We start from the raw sequence: 23,472 nt of genomic DNA, 5'->3' as shown, positions 1-23,472 counted from the left end.
GTCCCCACCTCATTGGTGGCTTTGTAATGAACAGCAGACGTGCAGAGCACTTAGCACAGAACCAGCCCATATGGTGGGCTCCTTGCATGTTAGTTCCTACTGTCACTGTCACTGCCATCCTTACAGGTTGCAGGAGCCCTGCTTCAGCCAGCTCAGGAGGAAAGTGATCCAGAGAGAGGCCATGTAAAGAGGTCAGTGCAATGCAGTCTGCAGATGAAAAGAGGCCAACTAACTGTCACCAACTCTCTCTTCTCTTTTCCTAAGGCCTGTGATTTGGAGGTAATAGTAATAACAACACCTCACATTTGTAAAGTGCTCTCTTTAGCATTTCAATTCAATTCTACAAATATTTACTATGTGTCGACCCCGATTACCTTTTCCTAATTGTCAAACCCCTCCCCTTGGCCCCAGCACACACATGCACTTGCTCATATACTCCCGCATACATGCACGCACACCCCATCCACCTCCTGGCATGCAAATATAAGCACTGGCACATATGCACACATGTGTATGTACATGGGTGCATGTGCGTGCACACACACACACACACACACAGACACACACGGCTGCTGCTTGCTCTCTCCTGCCTCCCTCAGCCTTTGTATATGTTTTGCTGTTATCTTGGGTGAGTTCACCTTCAAATCCAAGCCTCTAAGCAGGCGGACACCTTGATTTTATAAGTCACCCTGAAGATCATGGTTCTGAGGGGTCATAGAAAGGCACTGAGCTGCATGATTCGCATATGGGTGTAGGAGTCAGCCAGCCCAGTTTGAGTTCCTGCTCTGCTAGGCAGTGGTCCTGGACAAGTTACTTAACCTTTCTGTGCTTCAGCTTCCTTATCTGTAAAATGAGGATGATGAAAGTAGTCACCTCACAGGGGCGTTGTCAGGATTAAACAAGACAACACACCTGTCACTGTGTCTGGTCTGCCATTGGCGATGGTGTTGAAGATATGATGACAGACGTGCAGGACTGGCCTCCTGCACAGACAATGCAGCATCACTGTGAGGGATCCCAGTGAAATATATTTCCCCTCATCAGTCTCTGATCAATGTCACTATCAGTCCTTTAGGTGAATGTATTTATCCCTTATTTAGCTATCCCTGGAATTCAATAGCTTTTCATCTTCACGTGAATGAGTTAAGCAGATCCCTTACAATTTGACTCTAGTTAGGGGAATGTTCCTCCCTTCAATTCTTCAGGAAATATTTACTGATCACTTCCTATGTGCTGAGTGCCAAAGACAAAAAGGTGAATGAGATACAGAACCTGCTCCCCAGAAACCCCTGTCTAGAGAGGGAAACATACCATGGCAGTCAGTGAGAAAATCTATGATGGAGATGAGCTCAGGGGTTGAGGGGGAGGCAGAACAGAGTCCCTAAGATGGAGGGGACCAAGCCTGGGAATGTGATCTGGGGGAAATGAGTGCTCAGGTTCACTGGAAGGAGGTGACAGACGGCACTCCAGGCTGGAGGGCGGGAAGGGACACTGATTTTGCAGACCAGGCAATGTTGGGGTGGGGAAGGGGGCAGGGAGGTGGGGCGCAGCTATGTGGAAAACAAGCTGCACCTACTCAGAGGTTTTCTGGAAGCTTCGCTGTCCTACTTTTGTGGCCTTGCCAGTGTTTTCTTCATCCTGGAATAGACTGGGATGTCTGCTGCTAAGATCGGACAAAGCATCTGGCTTTGTATAGGGGACTGCCTTGTTGAAACTGAGAATCATGTTCAAGTCTTGTTGGGATGACAGTGAAGGGCAGATAGACGCCAAATGATGTCCCCATAGCCAGCTCACTGGGTGCACACTCTTATCACCGGGTTTAATAGTGTCTCTCTCGTTTTCTGCTGTTTGGATGCTGTTGAGTAAATGCTCACGTGCTGTGACTCCCCTTCAGCCCCTTTTACGCAGCCCTCACCAGCTAGCGTGGCTCCTTTGCCTGTGCTGTTGGAGCGATATCCCTGCAACCAACCAGTGCAGTCTCCCTTTATTTTACTGAGCTTCAGAAAGGTCATGTGAGTTTGGGGTCAGTGGCAGAGCTGGGGCTTCATTCCAGGGCTTCTGCCTTCATGCCCGGTTCCTTGCCTGCCCTCCTTGTATTTGCCATAGAGGTGCTGGCAACTCAGTCCCAGGACCCAAAGGGAAGCTGCAATGCCAGAGGAGAAAGGACCAGGCTTTACAGGAGAGACAAGCTCGGAAGTCCACCCCCAGTCTCTCTACCCTGGGCCATCTGCCCACTCCGAGTCACTTGCTTCTATTGCTCCAGTTTGCCTCCAAGCCTAATAACACTGCTTTTAAAAATAGTATTCTTATTGATGTAGAATATATGTATAGACATGAACATAAATTGTAAGTGCACAGCTTGATGAATTTTCACTAAGTGAACACACCCATGTAAGCAACATTCAGATGAAGAAAAAGAACATTTATTAGCACCTTGGAATATGACCTCACGTCTCCTGCCAGTACCTGTTCACCTACTCCTCCCCCAAAGTAGCCATTATACTAACTTCTTTATTTTGTTTTATTTTATTTTATTTTATTTTCATTTTTAATAGAGACCGGGTCTCCTTGTGTTGCCTAGGCTGGTCTTGAACTCCTGGGCTCAAGGGATCCTTCCACCTTGGCCTCCCAAAATGTTGGGATTACAGGGGTGAGCCACCACTCCTGGCCTATACTAGCTTCTAATGCAATAGATTTATTTTGCCTGTTTTTGAACTTCATATAAATGGAATGATATAGTATGTAAGCTTTTTAAAAATTAAAACAAGTTTTTTTTTTTTTTAAGAGACAGGGTCTCACTATGTTGCCCAGGCTTGTCTTGAACTCCTGGGCTCGTGATCCTCCTGCCTCAGCCTCCCGAATAGATGGGATTACAGGCACATACCACCCACCTGGTTTCCTAATATGTAAACTTTTTGTGTCTGGCTTTCTTTGCTCAATATTATGTTTGTAAGATTCACTTACATTGTTGCATGGAGAAATAGTACATTCTTTCTCATTACTTTCTAGTGTTCCACTGTCTGAATTTACCTCAATCTATTTCTGCATTCTACTGTTGAGCTTTTCCCGATTTTTGCTATTATATATAGTGCTGCTATGAAAATTTGCTGATGAATAGAATTTCTGGGTCATAAAGAATGCATGTGTTCAGTTTTAGTAGGTAATGCCAAACAGTTCTCAATAGTTGTTGAACCAATATATACTCTCACCAGCAATACATCAGAGTTCCATTTGCTCCACATCCTCATCAACACTTGGTATTCTCTGTCTTATTATTTTAACCACTTTGCTGGATGAATGGTGGTATTGCATTGTGAGTTTAATTTTTGTATTTCTCTAATGACTAATGAAATGAAATCCATTTTCTCTTGTGTATTAGATATTTGAGTGTCCTTTTTTGTGAATGCTCATTCAATTTTTTTGCCAATTTTTTATTTTTTTTCTTGCTTTTTAAAAAAACATGTATTATTATCGATTTGTTTGTTGGTTGGTTTGTTAGAGATAGGAACTTGCTCTGTCACCCAGGCTGGAGTGCAGTGGCGCAATCATAGCTCATTGCAGCCTCGAACTCCTGGCCTCAAGTGATCCTCCTGCCTCGGCCTCCCAAATTGCTAGAATTACAGGCATGAGGCACTGTGCTGGACTGGTTTTCTTTTTCTTATTGATTTTCAAGAGTTCTATCTATATCTATATATCTGTATTTTAATTTCTATCTCCTGGATGTGCATCTTTTGGTGAATATATATTTTACATATATATTTTCTCATCCTGCAACTTGTCTTTTCACTCCCTTCAAAGTGTCTTTTGATGAGCATAACATCTTAATTGTAATGTTGGCCAGTGTATCAATTTATCCTTCATGGCTAAGTGCTTTTTGTGTTCTCTTTTTAAGAATACTTTGCCAACCTTAAAGTCATGAAGATATCTTATGTTTCTTCTAGAAACTTTATTGTCGTATTGTTTCCATTTGGATCTACAATCCATCTGGAGTTGATTTTTGTGTATGCCGTGAGGTAGGGGTCAAGATTCATTTAAAAAATACAGCTTGGCACCATCTTGACCTCTGACCCCATCCACTCCCAACGAAAGCCCTACTTTAATCAAGAAGGGCTTTTGTGTCCAAATGTGTCCTTTGACAGCTGAATTCAAGAGCAGCCCTCTGGGCCTCTGAGTAGGGGCCAGAGCTGAGCTCAACATGGGAGGTCCCAAAGTGTGCTTGGCCCACCTCTCCCGGGGAAGTGGCCTGGCAGATGAGAAAAGCAGGGACAGAGGGATGAAGCACCTTCTCCATCTTTCAGCTGGGACTCTTTCACCCACTGAACTCCTGTGATGGGACTTAAAGATGCCCATGGAGTCCTAACTCAAGGATTCCAATTCAGAACCTTGGGACTGCCTGCTTTCATACTCTGCCCATATTTATTCACTCAAAAAATGTTCAATTGCCTACTCTATATTGGCCACTGGTCACTGATGATACAACAATGAACCAAATGGACAACAAATCCCACCCTCATGAATCTAACATTCTGGTCGGGGTAGAGAGGCAATTAGAATACAGGCATACCTCAAAGATGTTGCAGGCTCAGTTCCAGGCCACCAAAGTAAAGCAAATATTACAATAAAGCAAGTCACATGAATTTTTTAGTTTCCTATTGCATATAGAAATTATGTATACACTGTACTGTAATCTATTGAGTGTGCAATAGCATTATGTCTAAAAAAATGTAGCTGCTTTAATTTTAAAATATTGTTAAAAATGTTAATGATCATTTAAGCCTTCAGTGAGTTGTAATGTTTTTGCTAGTGGAGGGTCTTGCTTTAGTGTTGATGGCCGTTGACTGATCAGGGTGGCGGTTGCTGAAGGTTGGGGTGGCTGTGACAATGTCTTAAAATATGACAATGAAGTTTGCGTAATTGATGAACTCTTCCTTTCATAAAATATTTCTCTAGTATGCAATGTTGTTTGATACCATTTTACTACAGTAGAACTTCTTTCAAAATTAGAGTGAATCCTCTCAAATTTTGCTGCTGCTTTATCAACTAAGTTTATGTAATATTCAAAATCCTTTGTTGTCATTTAAATAGTGCTCACAGCATCTTCACCAGAGTAGATTCTCAAGAAACCACTTCCTTTGCTCATCCATAAAAGCAATTCCTCACACACTAAAATTTTGTTATGAGATTCACTTCTGATTCTAGTTCTCTTGCTATTTGCACCACATCTGCAGCTACTTCCTCACTGAAGTCTTGAACCCCTCAAAGTCATTCGTGAGAGTTGGAATCAATTTCTTCCAAACTCCTGTTAATGTTGATATTTTGACCTCCTCTCATGATCATGAATGTTCTTAATAGCATCTAGAATGGTGAATCTTTTCTTTTTCTTTCTTTCTTTTTTTCTGGGATGGAGTCTTGCTCTGTCGCCCAGACTGGAGTGCAGTGGCGTGATCTCGGCTCACTGCAAGCTCCACCTCCCGGGTTCATGTCATTCTCCTGCCTCAGCCTCCTGAGTAGCTGGGACTACAGGCACCCGCCACCACGCCTGGCTAATTTTTTGTATTTTTAGTAGAGACAGGGTTTCACCATGTTAGCCAGGATGGTCTTGATCTCCTGACCTCATGATCTGCCCGCCTTGGCCTCCCAAAGTGCTGGGATTACAGGCATGAGCCACTGTGCTGGGCCTAGAATGGTGAATCTTTTCCAGTAGGTTTTCAATTTACTTTGCCCAGATCCATCAGAGAAATCACAGTCTATAGCAGTGATAGCCTTACAAAATGTATGTCCTTTTTTTTTTTTTTTTTCTCATGCCTGTAACTCCAGCACTTTGGGAGGCTGAGGTGGGTGGATCACAAAATGTATGTCTTTACAAAATGTATGTCCTTGCAAAATAAGACTTAAATAATAAGACTTGAAAGTCAAAATTATTCCTTGGTCCGTGGACTGGAGAATGGTCATTGTGTTAGCAGGCACAAAAACAACATCCATCACCTTGTACACCTCCATCAGGGCTCTTGGGTGGCTAGGTGCGTTGTCAGTGACCAGTAATATTTTGAAAGGAATCTTTTCTTCTGAGCAGTAGGTCTCAATCGTGGGTTCAAAAAACTCAGTAAAGTATGCTGTAAACAGATGTGCTATCATCCAGGATTTGTTGTTCCACTTATAGAACATAGGCAGAGTAGATTTAGCATAATTCTTAAAGGACCCAGGATTTTCAGAATATAATTCAGCATTGGCTTCAACTTAAAGTCATTAGCCCCTAACAAGAGAGTCATCCTGTCCCTTGAGGCTTTGAAGCCTGGCATTGACTTCTCCTCTCCAGCTGTGAAAGTCCTAGATGTCATCTTCTTACAATAGAAGGCTGTTTCATTTACATTGAAAATCTGTTGTTGGCCAGGCACCGTGGCTCACGCCTGTAATCCCAGCACTTTGGGAAGCCAAGGCGAGTGGATCATGAAGTCAGGAGATCGAGACCATTCTGGCTAACATGGTGAAACCCTGTCTCTACTAAAAAATACAAAAAAAAATTAGCTGGGCGTGGTGGCGGGTGCCTGTAGTCTCAGCTACTGGGGAGGCTGAGGCAGGAGAACGGGGAGAACCTGGGAGGCAGAGCTTGCAGTGAGTGGAGATTGCACCACTGCACTCGAGCCTGGGCGACAGAGCGAGACTCCATCTCAAAAAAAAAAAAAAAAAAAGAAAAAGAAAAGAAAATATGTTGTTTAGTGTAGCCACCTTCATCAGTGATCTTAGCCAGCTCTTCTGGATAACTTGGTGCAGCCTCTCCATCAGCACTTGCTGCTTCACCTTGCACTTTTATGTTATGGAGATGGCTTCTTTCCTTAAATCTCATGAACCCATCTCTGCTAGCTTCAGATTTTTCTTCTTCTTCTTCTTTTTTTTTTTTTTTTTGTTTTTGAGATGGAGTCTTGCTCTGTTGCCCAGGCTGGAGTGCAGTGGTGCGATCTCGGCTCACTGCAAGCTCTGCTTCCGGGGTTCACGCCATTCTCCTGCCTCAGCCTCCCGAGTAGCTGGGACTACAGGCGCCCACCACCACGCCCGGCTAATTTTTTGTATTTTTAGTAGAGACGGGGTTTCACTGTGTTAGCCAGGATGGTCTCAATCTCCTGACCTCATGATCTGCCCGCCTCTGCTTCCCAAAGTGCTGGGATTACAGGCGTGAGCCTCCACGCCCGGCCCCAGATTTTTCCTCTGCAGCTTCCTCACCTCTCTCAGCCTTCACAGAATTGAAGAGTTAGGCTCTTGCTCTGGGTTAGGCTTTGGCATAAGGGAATGTTGTGGCTGGTTTTATCTTCCATCCAGACCACTCAAACTTTCTCCGTATCAGCAATAAGTCTATTTCACTTTCTTTTTTTTTTCTTTTTTTTTGAGACAGGGTCTCACACTGTTGCCCAGGCTGGAGTGCAGTGGCACAATCTTGGCTCACTGCAACCTCCACCTCCCGGGTTCAAGCGATTCTCCTGCCTCAACCTCCTGAGTAGCCGGGATTACAGGTGTGCGCCACCACGCCTGCTTAATTTTTTTGTATTTTTAGTAGAGACGGGGTTTCACTGTGTTGGCCAGGCTGGTATCCAACGCCTGACCTCGTGATCCACCCGCCTCGGCTTCCCAAAGTGCTGAGATTACAGGCGTGAGCCACCGCACCTGGCCTCACTTTCTTATTATTGGTGTGTTCCCTGGAGTAGCACTTTTAATTTCCTCCAAGAACTTTGCCTTTGCATTCACAACTTGACTAACTGGCATTAGAGGCCTAGCTTTTGGCTTATCTTGCCTTTCAACGTATCTTCTTCACTAAGTTTAATCACTTCTAGCTTTTGATTTAAAGTGAGAAATGTGTGACTCTTCCTTTCACTTGAATGCTTATTGGCTAATGAAGGGCTATTAATTGGCTTGATTTCAGTATTATTTTGTCTCAGGGAATAGGGAGGCCCTAGGAGAGGAACAGAGATGGGGAAATGGGCAGTGAATGGAGTGGTCAGAATACACACGGTGCCCCAAGCAATTATAGTAGTAACATCAAAGATGGCTAATCACAGATCACTATAATAGATATAATAATAATAATAAAATTTGAAAGCCCATTGCAGTGGCAGACACCTGCAAATCCCAGCTACTTGAGAGGCTGAGGTGGAAGCATTGCTTGAGCCCAGGAATTTGAATCCAGCCTGGGCAACATAGCAAGACTCTGTCTCTCTCTCTTTTTTTTTTTTTGACAGAGTCTCGCTCTGTCACCCAGGCTGGAGTACAATGGCGCTATCTTGGCTCACTGCAACCTCCGCCTCCCAGGTTCTAAGTCATTCTCCTGCCTCAGCCTCTGGAATAGCTGGGATTACAGGCACGCACCACCATGCCCAGCTAATTTTTGTATTTTTAGTACAGATGGGGTTTCGCCATGTTGCCCAGGCTGGTCTCAAACTTCTGACCTCAAAATGAAAAAGTTTGAAATATTTCAAGAATTACTAAAATGTAACACACAGACATGAACTGTGCACATGCTGTTGGGAAAGTGGCACCAATAGGCTTGCTTGATGCAGGGTTGCCACGGACCTTCAATTTGTAAAAAATGTAGTATCTGTGAAGCACCATAAAGTGAAGCACAACAAAACGCAGGATGTCTGTATAAACAAGTAAAATGTAGAAAGGAAAGTATGAAAAAAGATGATAGCTGCTATGGAGAAAAATAAAACAGGAAAGAGAAATAACGAGTGCTGGGTGGTTAATTTTAAGTTGGGTGGTCCGGGCAGGGAGGCATCACTGAGAAGGTAACATTTGTGCAAAGACCAAAGAGCCCTGCAGATAACCGGGGGAAGAGCAGTCTTAGTAACAGGAGCAGCAAATACAAGATCCCAGAGGCAGGAAATGGTTACACAGGTGCTGGAAGAGCTGAGAAGCCAAAGAGGTACTGGTGAAGCTATTTAGTAGAAGCCACTACCGCTCCTAGGCTAGAGAGAAAAAAGAAGAAAGCAGTGTTTTGGGAACCCAAGGATGGGGTCAACCAGCGGAAGCTGCAACCATGGTAGGTTGCAGGGCCCACAGGGGCCAAGAGCTGGAGCCATGGAGGAAATGTGGCTGCAGATACTACCTGGGTAGTGTCTTGAGGATTTTTTTTGGAGACAGAGTCTCGTCTGTCCCCCAAGCTGGAGTGCAGTGGCAGGATCTTGGCTCACTGCAACCTCCACCTCTCCAGTTCAAGCAATTCTCCTGCCTCAGCCTCCCGAGTAGTGGGATTACATGCGTGTGCCACCATGCCGGCTAATTTTTGTATTTTTAGTAGAGATGGGGTTTCGGTGTGTTGGCCAAGCTGGTCTTGAACTCCTGACCTCAAGTGATCTGCTCACCTTGACCTCCCAAAGTGCTGGGATTACAGGCATGAACCACCGCACCCACCCTACCCTGACTTTTATCTTGCTCCCTCTCTCCAGTCTCCTGCCAGAGCCTCCTACTGGCTAAACCTGGCTAGCAGCCAGTCTCTAACAAGCGCAGGTAAAAGCAGCCTACCAGGGCAGCCTCCTGAGATACAGACCAGAGCAGGAGAGAGGAAAACTGGATTAGAAAATGGACCTTTCAACAATGAGATATCTTCTCATACTCACTAGCATGGCTAAAATAAAAAAGACTGATCCTACCAAATGTTGGCAAGAAGAGAGAGAAACTGGAACTCTCTTCCATTGCTGGCTTATGTGTAAGATAGTAAAATCATGTTAGAAAACTGTTTGGCAGCAGCCTGGGCAACATAGCAAGACTCCATCTCTACAAAAAAATCAAAAAATTAGCCAGGCATTGTGACTTATGCCTGTAGTCCCAGCTACTCAGGAGGCTGAGAAAGGAAGATCATGTGAGCCTAGGAGTTCGAGGCTGCAGTGAGCTGTAATTGTACCACTATGTTCCAGCATGGATGATGGAGAGAGACCTGGTCTAAAAAAAAAAAAGAAAAGAAAAGAAAAGAAAACTGTTTGGCGTTTGCTAGTAAAGTTGAATGCACACCTAACCTATGACCCAGCAATTCTACTCCTAAGGATATACCCAAAGAGGAATGAGAACATAGGTCCGGAAAAAGACTTGTACAAGAACATTCATACCAACAATGTCAGTGAAGCCAAGAAACTAGAAACAACGTCAAATGTCCACCAATAGGAAAATGGATTAAATATTATGGCACATTCATACAGCGGAATAGGTATTACAATAAAAATAAACTGATTACTGCTACATGCAATGATGTGAATGAATCCCAAGACATGCTGAGTGAAATACGCCAGACAAAAAAGAGAACATATTGTGTGACTCCACTTATATCCAAAGATGCAAAACTAACCTGTGGTGACAAGGGGTCCAAAAAATGGTTGCCTGGAGGAAGGAGGACTGACTGGGAAGGGACACAATGGAACCTTTCTGGGATTATGGAAATGTTCCCTACATTCATCTGGGTGTTGATAACGCAGACACGTTTGACAAAACTCATCTAACTGTCCACTTCAGATCTGTGCATTTTACTTTATACAAACTACACCTCAATAAAGGAAGCAAATGCAAAAACCAACAAAAAAGACTTAGACCTCTGTCTCCCCTTCTGCCATCAGCCTAGCTTGGGCCTCCGTGCAGGACCGGGACTGCTGTTTCATCTCTCAGCTGTCAGCCATCTGCAGCAGGCCCCCATGGCTCTCCCACATCCTGCACACAACAGCAGATCCATCTTTCTGAAGCAGCTGCAGGGGAGAGCAAGGAGCTCTGGGCTTGGAGCTTAAGGATTCCGGTTCAAATCTCAGCTCCATCTCTTTCCAGCTATGTCACTTGGGTGAGCCACACTGCTTCTCTGAGTCACCTTTCTTCATCTGAAAAATGGGAACACAACACCTCCTTCAGAGGACTTGTTGGGAGGATGAAAATGGGATTTTGTCTGTGAAAGGGCTTTAGAAACAAGAAGCCAGCAACCATAGGGTGGGGTTCATACCACCCAATTGCTTAGGAAGTTTTGTGGAACTTTCCAATGGATCATTGGTCCCAGTTATTCACTCTTACTTTCTACGTCCTATACCATCACTCCCTTTGTCATGTGACTCTACTTTCCCGCCACACTGGCGGTAGGCTTGGTCATGGTAGACTTGCTTTGGCCAATGCCATGTCAATCAATGGATTTGACCAGAATACAGGATTAAAAATGTCTGTGCTCTTTGGCTTGGTCTCTTGTCTCTAGAGTTTCTGTGATTGCCATGCTGGCTCAAGGAGAACGTGGAGCAGTCTGGAGCCCAACCCAAAGTCCGTGAGTGAGAAGACAAAGGCTTGTTGTAAGCCATAGTAGTGTTCATTTGATTTGCTAAGCAGCACTACTGTGGTAAGAACTGACTAATACAGCCTCAAGGTCATCACCATCTCCAAGCAGGTCTCTATCCACCTACCTCTCCAGCCCCATTCCAACAATTCGATTCCAGTCAAACCAGTCCATTCAGCATCCCACAAAATGTAGCATTCCCTCTCACTCCCACTTGCCTAACTTAATGTGCAGTTTTCCCTTCCTATCCTTCTTCTTATTGAAAGCCAAAGTTTTCCCCCTTTACTCAGTCTATATCAGTCATACCTATCCTTCGAAAGGTAACTGAAGTACCACCTCCCCAAGGAAGCTTTCCTCGATGCCCCCCACTGTGGTGCCAGCTCCCTCTGCTGAGCTCCTGCAGCCCTATAGGTCCGTGTCTCTCATGGGACGCTGAGTACACTCCGACCAGGATCATAATCAGCTGAATTTTTCCAAGTGAATAGTGACGTCTTTCATCTGGCCTGTGATTTAGGAGTCTTTTGTTGAGGATGGAATTGGTGCTTGGGAAATACTTGTTGAATGAATGAATGAATAAATGATTGGGTGAACGAAAAGATGACTCAATGATAGCTCCTGTGTAACCTGTTGCAGAACATCCAACTTTCTTAAAATTGTGATCTGCAAGTCTAGCTTCGGGCTCAATCTAGAAGTTCCAATTGGAATGGAGAAAGGGGCAGTGAACATCACCCACCCAGGAAGAGACAGGACATATTTGCCCCCATGGGGTCATGGGGAAAAGAAGGGTGGTAGCCCTGACCCTATACTTATCCCTTCCCTGTGCTCACCCCATTTCCTCTCCTATCCCTATCTGTATGTCACTGAATGGCTATAAGGACTTTCTGACTGTAACCTCTCAACCAGGCAGCTAGAATCTACATGCTGTCTTACTTATCTTGGTTTTCATCTTAGTGTGGGTGCCCAGTGCTTTGCATACAGCAGGTGCTCAATGAATGTTTAATGTCTAAAGGAATGAATAATATGCTCTTTTAAAGTTTGACTGGAAAATTATTTTATATTTGGCAGTTTGGGGCCCAGTCTCCCTGAGTTCAGAAACATCTAAAAATTCCAACATCAACTATTTTGGGTTTGGGGTGATGATGGCAGAGACTAACATCCTTCTGAAAGTTAAAGGGCATCTCTGTTGCTTAAAGGAGCCTTCTGAGTGGGCAAGGGGGCATCCATTAGAAAGTCCCTCTTCAGAAATTCCCCCCACACTCACACATCTATCTAATGACTAAAACATGGGGGTTAAAAAGTCCCTCTTAAAACTCAGACACTCCTTTAGGGAGATGCTACCACCCGACCAAAAGTTAAAGACCTTGGCTGGGTGGTGTTACAGGCAACAGGCAGAAGGGAAGGTTTTGCTCAAGGTCAGGCTGGCAGAGCTAGGCTGGTGGCAGAGTGGGGGCTTAAAACCAGGTTGAGCAAGAGCCAGAGAAGGGAAATTAAAGCGGGTGGGGCTGGGCACAGTGGCTCACTCCTGTAATCCCAGCAGTTTTGGAGGTGGAGCAGGAGGATCGCTTGAACCAAGGAGTTTGAGACCAGCCTGGGCAACACAGCAAGATCCCATTTCTACAAAAAAAATTTAAAATTAGCCGGGCGTGGCGGTATGTTCCCATAGTCCCAGGTACTCTGGAGGCTGAGGCAGGAAGATCATGTGAGCCATGGAGGCTCGATCATGATTGAGCCACTGCATTTTAGCTTGGGCGACAGAGTGAGACCCCCCATCTCAAAAAACACAAAAGGGGAGGGAGTAGATTTTAAGACAAATGTTCCTCACCCTGCACTTTTATCTAGGTCCGTGGGACATAGGCCTAGATATGGAGGGGTGGATTAACTTAAGCCTCCTTGTGGATTCCTATGCCTGGGTTCTTATTCCCCTAAACAGTGTGAAGAAGTAGAAGAAGTACCCAAGCTGGGGTAATCATAAGTGAGAGAGAAACCTTTTTTTTTTTTTTTTTTTTTTTTTTTGAGACAGGGTCTCACTTTGTTGCCCAGGCTGGAGTGCAGTGGCACAAACATGGCTCACTGCAGCCTTCTCAACCTCCTGGGCTCAGATGATCCTCCAACCTCAGCCTCCCAATAGTGGGAGTACAGGCATGTGCCACCATGCCTGACTAATTTTTTGTATTATTTGTAGAGATGGGGTTTCGCTATGTTGCCAGGCTTGTCTCAAACTCCTGAGCTCAAGCGATCCTCCCGCCTTGGCCTCCCAAAGTGCTAGGGTTACAGGTGTGCACCAAGGTGGCTGGCCAGAAACCTGTTTTTATGGCTTGGCCATGAATGCCTACTTGGGTGGGGAGGAGGAAGGAGGCACCTGGATGGGAGTGCAGGAGAGGAGGGCAGGAGAGTTGGGGCCTGAGAAAAAGAGTCTTGGGATCACACTGCCTCCATCCCACTCTGCAGGTAAGGCCCAGTGCCCACCCTTCCCCAGGGCACAGAGGTAGGGTTAAGCCTTCTGCAGCTGATGCAACTGGCCAGGGGTGAAAGAGGAGAAGGAGGTAAGTGAATTAAAGAGTCATAACTCCTAGGGAGTGACCCCAGTGCTCTGTGGGGCCCACCTGAGCCCCGCATCTTCAGGATTTATGCAGTTGCCATGTCTTCTTGAGGCCCTGCCTCCTAACTCAAGTCACCAGATTATTCATTCCTGCTAGTGTCAGCTGAGGGGACTGAAATCAATGCCAGCTCACCCAGAGCACACAGGGGAGCAAGTAGGGGAGAAGGATCAGGGCAAGAGCAGTGTATCCATGCAGACAGACAGACAGACAGACACACACACACACACACACACACACACACACACACGCCAGAATCGGCCCACAACCCCATCCCCCACAGCCACAATACAAGTCTGCAAGCCCCAAGATAGACCCAAGCGCCTAGTCCTGACAGCGCCTAGGGAATTGTGGAGGTTATTTTAAGGTTGTTTCCACATCTTTATCTCCCCTGCCCCCATCCAACAAACAGTCAGACAAAAACAAACAGGCCAGCGGAGGCCTAGGCTGTTCACACGGAGAGGCGGACCCCTCCATCCCTCCTCCACTCTCGGACTCCTCCCAACCAAATTCCTCCAGGCAGGGCCCCTGGAATGAGGCGATACCTCATTCATCTCTTCTGAGGGGGCTAACCCTGCTGTCCATTCTGAAAAGCTGATTCCTCTAATTGCTTTTTCCTCCTCTATTTCCTAGGAATTCACTGGCAGGGCCTTGGATAGGATGGGATAGGGCTCTTGCTGGCCAGGTGAGCCCCTGCACTTCCTGGCTGAGCCCACTATCTTGGCCGTTATGGGTTGGAGATCCCAAGTGGACTGTTGGTTTTTGCTGTAGGGTAATTTGTGACCTCTGTATGAGACCGTCCCCGCAAAATACTCAACTCCTGTCTCTGCAGAGAAGGAAGCTTTATAAACAGAAGGAAAAGCTAAAGCAGGATATCAGAGGGCCATACGGTGAGGGGCTTCTTTGTGTGCCAAGCCCTGTTGGGGTGGAGGGGGGACTTACAGAAAGAGAACTATAAGACACTCATTTAGTCAGCAAATGTTTGCTGGGTGGTTACTATGGGCCAGCACCATTCTAGGCACTGCAGAGTAGCTGGTGAACCTGACAGCCTAGGCTGGCACTCTTGGAGCTTAAATTGTAGGTGGGGGGAAGAAAGAAGGCCAGGGATGTGTCTGGAGCCAATGAAGAGGGGAAGAGGGAAATGAGACTGAGTTGGAGAGGTGGGGCCCAGGGCAGTTTGGCAGGCTCTTACCAGTTCAGATTTTATTGCAAATGAAATGGCAAAGGCAGGGGTCCCAGGGTCCCTCCCAAGGCAGGTCCCTGAGTGCACATGTTTGTTGAGAGAGAAAGGGAACATCTAAACGATGAAAGCAGTCTCCTAGGAGCTGGGATTCTCTGTGAGGGATGCACAGTCCCACTTAGTGAGGTGAGAGGCAGGGGTTCTCCCTGCTAATCTCAACTAAGGGAGCCGTAGACTGGTCCAGGCTTCCCGCTCCCATTCATCTCTATTCACCAACTCCCCCCTCCCCACTCCCTGCCTCCTCACCCCACCCCCTGCTTCCCACTTTTTCTCCGTACTCCCCATCTGGCCTTCCAGGTGCTAAGTGGCCTTTGCGTCCCCATCTGACTTAGGTCAGGGTCTCAGGAGTTCTGGGTCTGGGTGTTTGGGCTCTGTGGACAGTCAACACGGCAAAGGCAGCCCGGGGGCACAATCCAGACGTGACCCCAAGCCTTCTGGGCCAGCCTGAGCCCTGGTCAAGGAGCAGAGCCCTATCCCCTATCTGGCACCCAGCACCTCCACCCAGTCCCACCCCTATCTGTCTCTCTTGAGGCTACAGCTCCTCCTTTATCCCCAGTGCAGGCTGGACATTCTTAGGACAGACGTCTGAGCCCTAGGAGAGACCAAAGAGACTCATTAGGCAATCAATCAAGCAGTCAATCAGTCAATCAACCAGCAAGGCAGGGACCAAGCTCCAACTGAGAAGAGATTCACTAATTTGGAAATGTGTGGATGTTTAATCAAAATGAAGAAACTGCCCTGCTTCAGAAGAAAAGAGTGTCCTTCCAGCGACCGTTTGGTGGCTTTTGTGTTTTTTCTGTGGGGGAGGGGCAGGAGGCAGGCTCTTACTTGATTATCTGTGGGTGGGGGCTAGTAAATGAGTGGGAAGTTGGGGGTGCGGGGTCTCTGTCTTCCCCCGCATCCATAACTCCAATCCAATCCACATTTGGGTTGGGTTTCTTCCAACCCAAATGGTGGGTGCCGTCCACAGGTTAGGCCTCAGTGTTGACAGCAGCAGGGGTCTGCCCGGCGCTTCCTACCCCACCTCCACAACTCCATCCCTTGGCCTCTCTCTCTTCCCTCTATTCTCCCAGCGTCCCTCCAGCTCACAGTGGCTTTGGCATGGGCTAGAGTAGGAGGGGACGGTGAGATCATCAAAGTCCCTTGGGGCCCAGGAAGTCCCAACGGTGGCCAGCGCCTGAAGGCAGAGTAAGGACCCAGGGTGCCCAGGAGTTCCACCCGGAGCCTTTCTTGGATTCAAGCCTGAGCCGCAACCCCCACTTTCTGGCACAAAGCTGGAGGCGGCGCCTCCCTAAAAGCGCGCCCCGAAGCCTCGCGGGGTGTCCTTCCGGCTCCTCCGCTTGAGTCAGCCCAGCTGCGGATTCACCCCACCTAGGCCTGGCAGCCGACCCCTCCTCTCCCCTCCCCCGTCTCTCTTCAGTCCTCTCCTTCCCTCCCACTGCGCGTTAGCGCTCCCTTCGCGTTTTTCCGACGGTCCCGCGGGTCCCGCCGAGTGACTAATCCAGCAGGTTGAGCAACTAGCCGGCGCTGGCGCCCCGGAGACGGCGGGTCATCCCCCTCGGCGCTGCGCAGTGCCCGGGCCTTGAACTTCCCCGGCCCCCGCGCTGGCCCAGATGGCTCCCGCCGTCCAGTCCGGCTTAGCAGCTCGCTCCGGGTGCCTAGGACGCGCGGCCCGGCCCTGGCCGTCCCTGAGGGCGCGGGTGGGGCGGGGCGCTCGGGGACCACCAGACTCTCCAGGGTGGGAAAGGAAGGTGTCTCCTCTTCCCGAGCTCGAGCAGGGAGACTGCGTGGGGAGCGGCGCCCCGAGAAGGCGAGGACCAATGCAATGCCTGGCCCTCACCGCCTTCTCAGCTCAGTGTCTTTGCACGTTCTGGAAGGTCGGGTGTGTTTGAAGAATGTTTGAAGAATGCAGTCTGCACCTCCGGCTGGGGCTGTTGAGGGTGCCCAGAGGCACTCGCCCCAGAAACGTGCGCGCGCTCACACACACACACACGCGCGCGCGCGCGCGCGCACACACACACACACACACCCCTCTTCCTCAGGCCGCCGCTCACTCTTGGGGATCTCACTTTTCTTCTCGCTCAGGGACTCCTACGGTTGCCCCTCTTCGCCGCCCTTCGCACCACCCCCTTCCTTGCCTCTTCCCCACCTTTCTCACTGTCAGCGCCTACCGCTTTGTCTGTCTGTCTGTCTCTGACCGGCTCTCTCACTCACTCGGGATGTTTATCTAATTGTTTCCCCGAGCTCCGAGGCAGGCTCTCCTGCCGTCAAACTCTGCCATCCCCACTCTGCCTGTGTAATTTAAAGCTGTAGTTAAATTATGACTTCTCCGGACCTGTTGTGGCACCTACGCCTAAGCCTAATTAAATGATCACATCCATTCTGAAGGCAGCTCTCTTCTCCCCTCCAACGTTAATTACAACATAAGAGGCTTTAATGGCCCGCCTCACCTCCAGCTCCTGGAAAGAAAGGTCAGGCGATTAATTTTCGTCATTAATCTTTTCCCAATGTGGACACTGTGCTGTCACCGGAGCCTATTAAGCCCCCTTTGGCCCCCCTTCCAGCCTCCCTCACCCCTCACCCCCTCCTCCCTGAGTGACTGCAGAGAAGGAAAATGTTTAAGAATCACTTTGTCTCTCTGCTTTCCCCCCCACCCCCTTTCCTAGAGACAGCTTCTCCTTGGGGGTCTCTGGGGTGGGGTAGTGGGGGGGCCGCCAAGTTTGTTTCCCGGTGGCTTCAGACAGCACCTCTGAAGACTGCTCATGTCGGAAATGTTATGAATCCAGCAGTCAGGCTGGGGAGCGGAGGGGCTGGGTCTGTGGCCTTCCATCACTCCCAGGTTGGGGAAGAGGCAGGGCCTGCCACCCTTGTGTGGAGGCAGAGATGAGGACAGGGCTGCCACTTGTCCACCCTCCACCTGGATCCCTACAGAAAAAAGCACTGTGTTGGCACCTAGGGCTTCAGCATCTAAGAAAGACCATTTGTTTTCCTGCGCAGGCCTAGGTTTCTTCTCCATAACCTCCCACTTTTTCTTTATTCCTTTCTCCCTTACCCTGCAACTTCAGCTTCATTAAATGGGCGATAATCTAGATTTCTGCAGTTGTGGGGGGCTGAGCAATGGCAACTCTCCGGGGAAGCCAATTCCAGACCCATGCCTAGGAACTGGGCATCCTGGTGGTGGTCCTGGGCTCAGAGTGAGGAGTGGTCAGTAGGGAGGGGCAGCAGATAGAAAAAGACTGCCTGTGAGGGCCGAGGGGCACATGCGTGCATGCAGACTGTGGAGGACCTGAGACCACGCCTTTCCAGCATTCCCACTTCCCGAAGCAGGCAAAAGAGAGGGAGAAGGAGAAATGTGAGCAGGCTCTCTGTAGACAGCTTTTATTTCAACCCCAGAATTTATTCGCTTTAAAATTCTAATCCAGAACAGAGTCCCCAGGAAGTGGAGGGGGTAAGGGAGCGGCCAGAAGGGGCATCAACCTGGCAGAAGCACAAGGGGTGCCGTGCAGGTGGGGGACATCCTGACGATACAGGGTGGCTCTGGCCACTGCTCTCTGTGGGGCCCAGCCCTGTCCCAGGGAAGACGGTTCAAGGGTGCAGGCCAGTAGGGTGATGATTAGAAAGTGACCACACCAGGGGGTATGGTGGGAGCTGCATGGAGGGTAGGAGCCCATGCAGACAGGCGATACTCTGCACCAACTCACAGTCCAGAACACACATGCTGCATGCCATGCCCTGCTCTCTGCAGCGCTCCCCGCACATCCATGCTACTTTGTCCACACAGGCCAAGCTACCTATCCTCTCCAGGCTGAGGGAACTCATGACTCCCCTGGAGCGGCCTTACTTGGAGCACAGACCCATCACCTCAAGGAAAGCTGCATTGGCCCTCCGCCACGCCCCAGAAACCCAGGGCTGCTGTGATTTCTAGAACTTCTGGCACTATATAGAAAGATGCTAAGTAGAAGGCAAAATGTCACTGGGACCCTGAGACACACCCCCAGCCCCAACCAGCCAGGAAGAAAGGGCAGCTCGGCCACAGCATTCACTGACCCATTGTGCCCAGTGACAGAGTGAAGTGAAGCCCTTTTGGGAATCCACAAAACTTGTGTGAGGCCCTATTCGGTTCTGGACTGGGGCAGCAGGGAAGGTGAGGAAGCCGGTTTGCAAAAGGGACTCGGAAAACCCCATCAGTGACCTGAACTGTCTTGTATCTAGCAAGGCTGGTTATGCCTAAATCACTGGTTGTTAAAAGAAGAAACTTCTAGGAAGCCCAAGAAGAGTTGGCCAGGACCCAGGAGCCTTCGATTCCTCCCACAGAGGCCTGCTTTCTAGGAAAGCGTCCCCTGTCGCCTCCACCTCCCTAGAGCTGGGCTCCGACTGGCTCCTGCCACAAGGTGGGCATCTGCATCCTCTTGTGGCCCAGAAGCAAACCTCCCCATCCAGAGTCAGCCCCTCCCCTGACGCCCGCCCCCCCCAGCTCCACCCCAAGGACATTGGGGACATCACGTCCACAGAGCCCTGCACAGCCGGATAATAATAATTAATAACCATTAGGAACAATACGGAGAAGACCAGTGCCCAGTCAGCCCAATGTGCAGCCTTGGCTTTTTTCTTTCTTCCTTTTTTTTTTTTTTTTTTTACTTTAATGAAAACAATGATTTGACTTTGAAGAAAGTGACTTTTTTAAAGTGAAAGCTGGATTGAGTTCCTCATCCGCCCCCTCCCCCGCATGCTGCCCCCCTTCCCTTCCGAGCTCCTCCTCCCATCTTGCCCCCACCATTTTTCTCTCTCCCTTTTTTCTTTTTCTTTTAATACTCTGCGTTCTATCATGCAAATCCCCTTTCAAATTATGAGAGTATTAGAGCCATCAACGGTAATGTCACCGCCACAAAATGAGAGTGGGGACTTAAGCACCTAACGAACAATGAAATGTGCGAGCCCTGGGACAGGACAATTAAGAACTGGGCTTAGCCAGCCAGGGAAATTTATTGCTATCAAATCCATATTTCTATTTTCCCCCTGAACAGTAACCTATTTGAATATGATTAAAGGGTTTCATTACGGCAGAGAGAAAGGCCCGTGTCCCGTGGTTCCTTGTGAGCTCACAAACACAGGCTTGGAGCTGGGCGCCCCTGTGAGGATATGGGTGGGGGCCAGTGGGGAGGGGAGGGGAGGACCCAGGGGTCCAGAAATTGAACATTAGGGAGCCGGCTCCCTGTGTAGGCAGGTCTGGTTGGAGAAAGTGGTTGGCTAGAAATGGGGTCTGGGAGTCTCTGGTTCTCTGACTCTTGGCAGAAGGTACCGGAAGATTCATTAGTAGATGGGGAAACTGAAGCAGCTTGAGGTTGTTGAGTAATAAGAGGTTGGGCAACTTGGTGAAGGACACTCAAATTTGTGAGAGTGGTAGATCCAAGACTGGATGCAAATCCAGTGCTATCCTTTCCTTCCCTCCCTTCCTCCTTCCTCCCCCCTTCTCTTCCTTCCTTCCTTCCCCCTTTTCCTTCATCCTTCCTTCCTCTCTCCTTCCTTCTGCCTTCCTTCTATCCCTATCTCCTTCTCCTTTCCCTCCTCCCTTTCCTCCCTTCCTCCTTCTTCCCTCTCTTCCTTCCTTCCTTTCTTCCCCTTTTTTTCTTTCTTTCTCCTCTCTCCATCTCTCCATTCCTATCTCCCTCTCTTCATCCCCATCTGCCTCTCCTTTCCCTTCTTCTTTTTTTTTTTTTGAGACGGAGTTTTACTCTTGTTTCCCAAGCTCAAGCGATTCTCCTGCCTCAGCCTCCCGAGTAGCTGGGATTACAGGCATGCGCCACCATGCCTGGCTAATGTTTGTAGTTTTAGTAGAGACGGGGTTTCTTCATGTTGGTCAGGCTGGTCTCGAACTCCCGACCTCAGATGATCCGCCCACCTCGGCCTTCCAAAGTACTGGAATTACAGGTGTGAGCCACCACACCCGGCCCCCTTCTCCTTTTCTTTTCCTTCACATTTTGTGTTCCCCCACAGTGCTAAGTGCTCTAGAGAGAAATGTACAGTCTGGAAATGTACAGTCTGGGAAATGTACAGTCTGGGAAATGTATAGTCTAGGGAAATGTACAGTCTGGGAAATGTACAGCCTGGGGAAATGTACAGTCTGGGGAATGTACAGTCTAGGGAAATGTACAGTCTGGGAAATGTACAGTCTGGGGAAATGTACGGTCTGGGAAATGTACAGTCTAGGGAAATGTACAGTCTGGGGAAATGTACAGTCTGGGAAATGTACAGTCTGGGGAAATGTGCAGTCGGGGAAATGTGCAGTCTGGGAAACATACAGTTTGCGGAAATGTACAGTCTGGGAAATGTACAGTCTGGGGAAATGTACAGTCTGGGGAAATGTACAGTCTGGCTGAGGAGATGAGATATAGAAAAGGGGGCTGAGAAGAGTTGGAGACAGTGGATGGCTGAATGTGAAGAGTGGTGCCCACGCTGAGTTCTGAAGGGGCTCAGGATGGGTTCCAAGGGGCAGGGAGGGGGTGGGGTGGCAAATCCCCAGAAAGATCTGTTGTAACACAAACAGATGGCAAAGAATTTTTCTTCCCTAGAAGTCTGCACATTATCACTCTGATCTATAGCAGAACCTTAATAAGATCTGGCTGTTGCCCCTTCCTGCTTTGTCAGCTACACCTAAACCAATAATGATCATGATCATGATACCAAGAATAATTCTAATGCTCCTGTGGATTTTCAGATCACTTAAGTTTATAACGTGCTTTCACACCCCTGTCCTCAAATTCTCAAAATAACCCTTTAAAGGGGGGCAGCTTGCCCAGCAAGCTACTCCCCAGCCCCTACTTGTGGCAGCTTTCTTCTTACTGGAAGCCCTAAACAAAAGAATTCTGGCCTGTGGTGGCACTGTAGTCCCAGCTACTTGGGAGGCTGAGGCAGAAGGATCACTTGAACCCAGGAGTTCGAGGCTACAGTGAGATATAATTCTATGATTGCAGCACTGCACTCCAGCCTGGGTGATAGAGTGAGACCCCCCCACCTTTTTTTTGAGACGGAGTCTTGTTCTGTCGCCAGGCTAGGGTGCAGTGGCACCATCTCGGCTCACTGCAACCTCCACCTCTGGGGTTCAAGCGATCCTCCTGCCTCAGCCTCCTGAGTAGCTGGGACTACAGGCGTGCGCCACCATGCCCAGCTAATTTTTTGTATTTTTAATAGAGACAGGGTTTCACCACATTGGCCAGGATGGTCTCGATCTCTTGACCTCATGATCCGCCTGCCTCAGCCTCCCAAAGTGTTGGAATTACAGGCATGAGCCACTGTGCCCGGCCAAGACCTCCTTTCTAAGAGAGAAGAAAAAGAATAGTGGCCTTGCCAGAGAGACCAGCTGTAACTCCTGTGGCCATGGGTGGGTGGTGGGTACATGGAAGAGCACCCTCACGTACAGCACATGCGCACATGAGCAAACGGCGAATCCTATTCCATAGGAAATAATTAAGCGCTGAATCATGTGTACTGAGCTGGGAGGAGGCTGAGATCACCCAGGGATGATTCCAGAGTGTGGGGCAGGATTTGGAGACAGAGCCCTGGCCTTCCAAATAGGCCCTGGATATGAGAAAGAGGGGAGCCCAGAGAGAGACTTGGGAAGGGGCAGCCAGCCAGGCTGGGGATCTGAGAAGGGATGCGTTGATGGTACCACTAGAGTGAGGGGAGGGAGGGCAAGGTTTGAAGTCAAGGTCGGTGTGCTCCTCAGCTCCTCCAGCCTTGGTCTTCTCCTCTAGCCTTTCTGGTTCCCTGTCTTGTCTTCTGGTGCTTCCCCTCTCCCTTCATTGGACAACCCTGAGTTTCATACCTGGAGCTCACAGAGACTGCAGTGGTGCACCCTGGGAAGCTGGATGAAGCAGCGCTACCCACACTAGGATCTGCCTTCAGGGGCCCACTCTCCCACGAGGACATATGCTGGCCTCATGCTCCCAAAACTTGGGCATCACCAGGGTAGTGAAGGAGGCACATGAGGAGTTGATCAAGGGTGCGAGAAGATCCCTTCTGATACTGGGCAGTGCCCCTCCCTGGTCTTCCCCCTCTCCACCTCCCATCCATCTTACAACAACTTCCCCCATGTGCACCCTACTCTCTCCTGCTATACTTTTCAGAGTCTGCTCTTTTTTTCATTCACTCATTCATTACTCCTGCATTCATCCATTCAACCAACATTTACCAAGCACGCTCTGGGATATAAAGATGTTTTATACTGCATCCTTGTTTGCAAAGAGCTCATTATCTATTAGAGAAACGGGCACGTGCAGAGCAAAGAATAATGCCTAGAGGAGCGAGGGACAGATTCCAACCAGGCACGACCACCCTCTAAAGTGGGCAAGGCAGAT

General features: G+C 48.6%; 1 long non-coding RNA gene across 2 annotated transcripts in view, besides 1 other annotated feature; it reads left to right on the top strand.

The window, feature by feature from the left end:
* The window catches only part of LOC112267957 (uncharacterized), a 52,113-nt gene that overhangs the window by 17,746 nt on the left and 10,895 nt on the right, over nt 1–23,472 (top strand). The window contains exon 2 of one of the 2 annotated variants that reach the window (XR_002956346.2): nt 127–191. This is a non-coding gene — a long non-coding RNA (uncharacterized LOC112267957). Of the gene's footprint in view, nt 1–126; nt 262–23,472 lie in introns of those variants that run through there. The other variant, XR_007059573.1, reaches the window with a different exon arrangement.
* Nucleotides 16,331–16,982: an enhancer, noted in NCBI's record as "H3K4me1 hESC enhancer chr6:41438012-41438663 (GRCh37/hg19 assembly coordinates)". NCBI's record gives its function as "activates a minimal SCP1, AML or CMV promoter by ChIP-STARR-seq in primed H9 embryonic stem cells {active_cell/tissue: H9 hESC(primed)}" and the evidence as "EXISTENCE:reporter gene assay evidence [ECO:0000049][PMID:30033119]".

This window comes from Homo sapiens, chromosome 6 (genome assembly GCF_000001405.40).
Source record: "Homo sapiens chromosome 6, GRCh38.p14 Primary Assembly".
NCBI lineage: Eukaryota > Metazoa > Chordata > Mammalia > Primates > Hominidae > Homo > Homo sapiens.
Note: the sequence above shows the minus strand (reverse complement) of the source record. Positions and strands in the feature narration are given on the sequence as shown.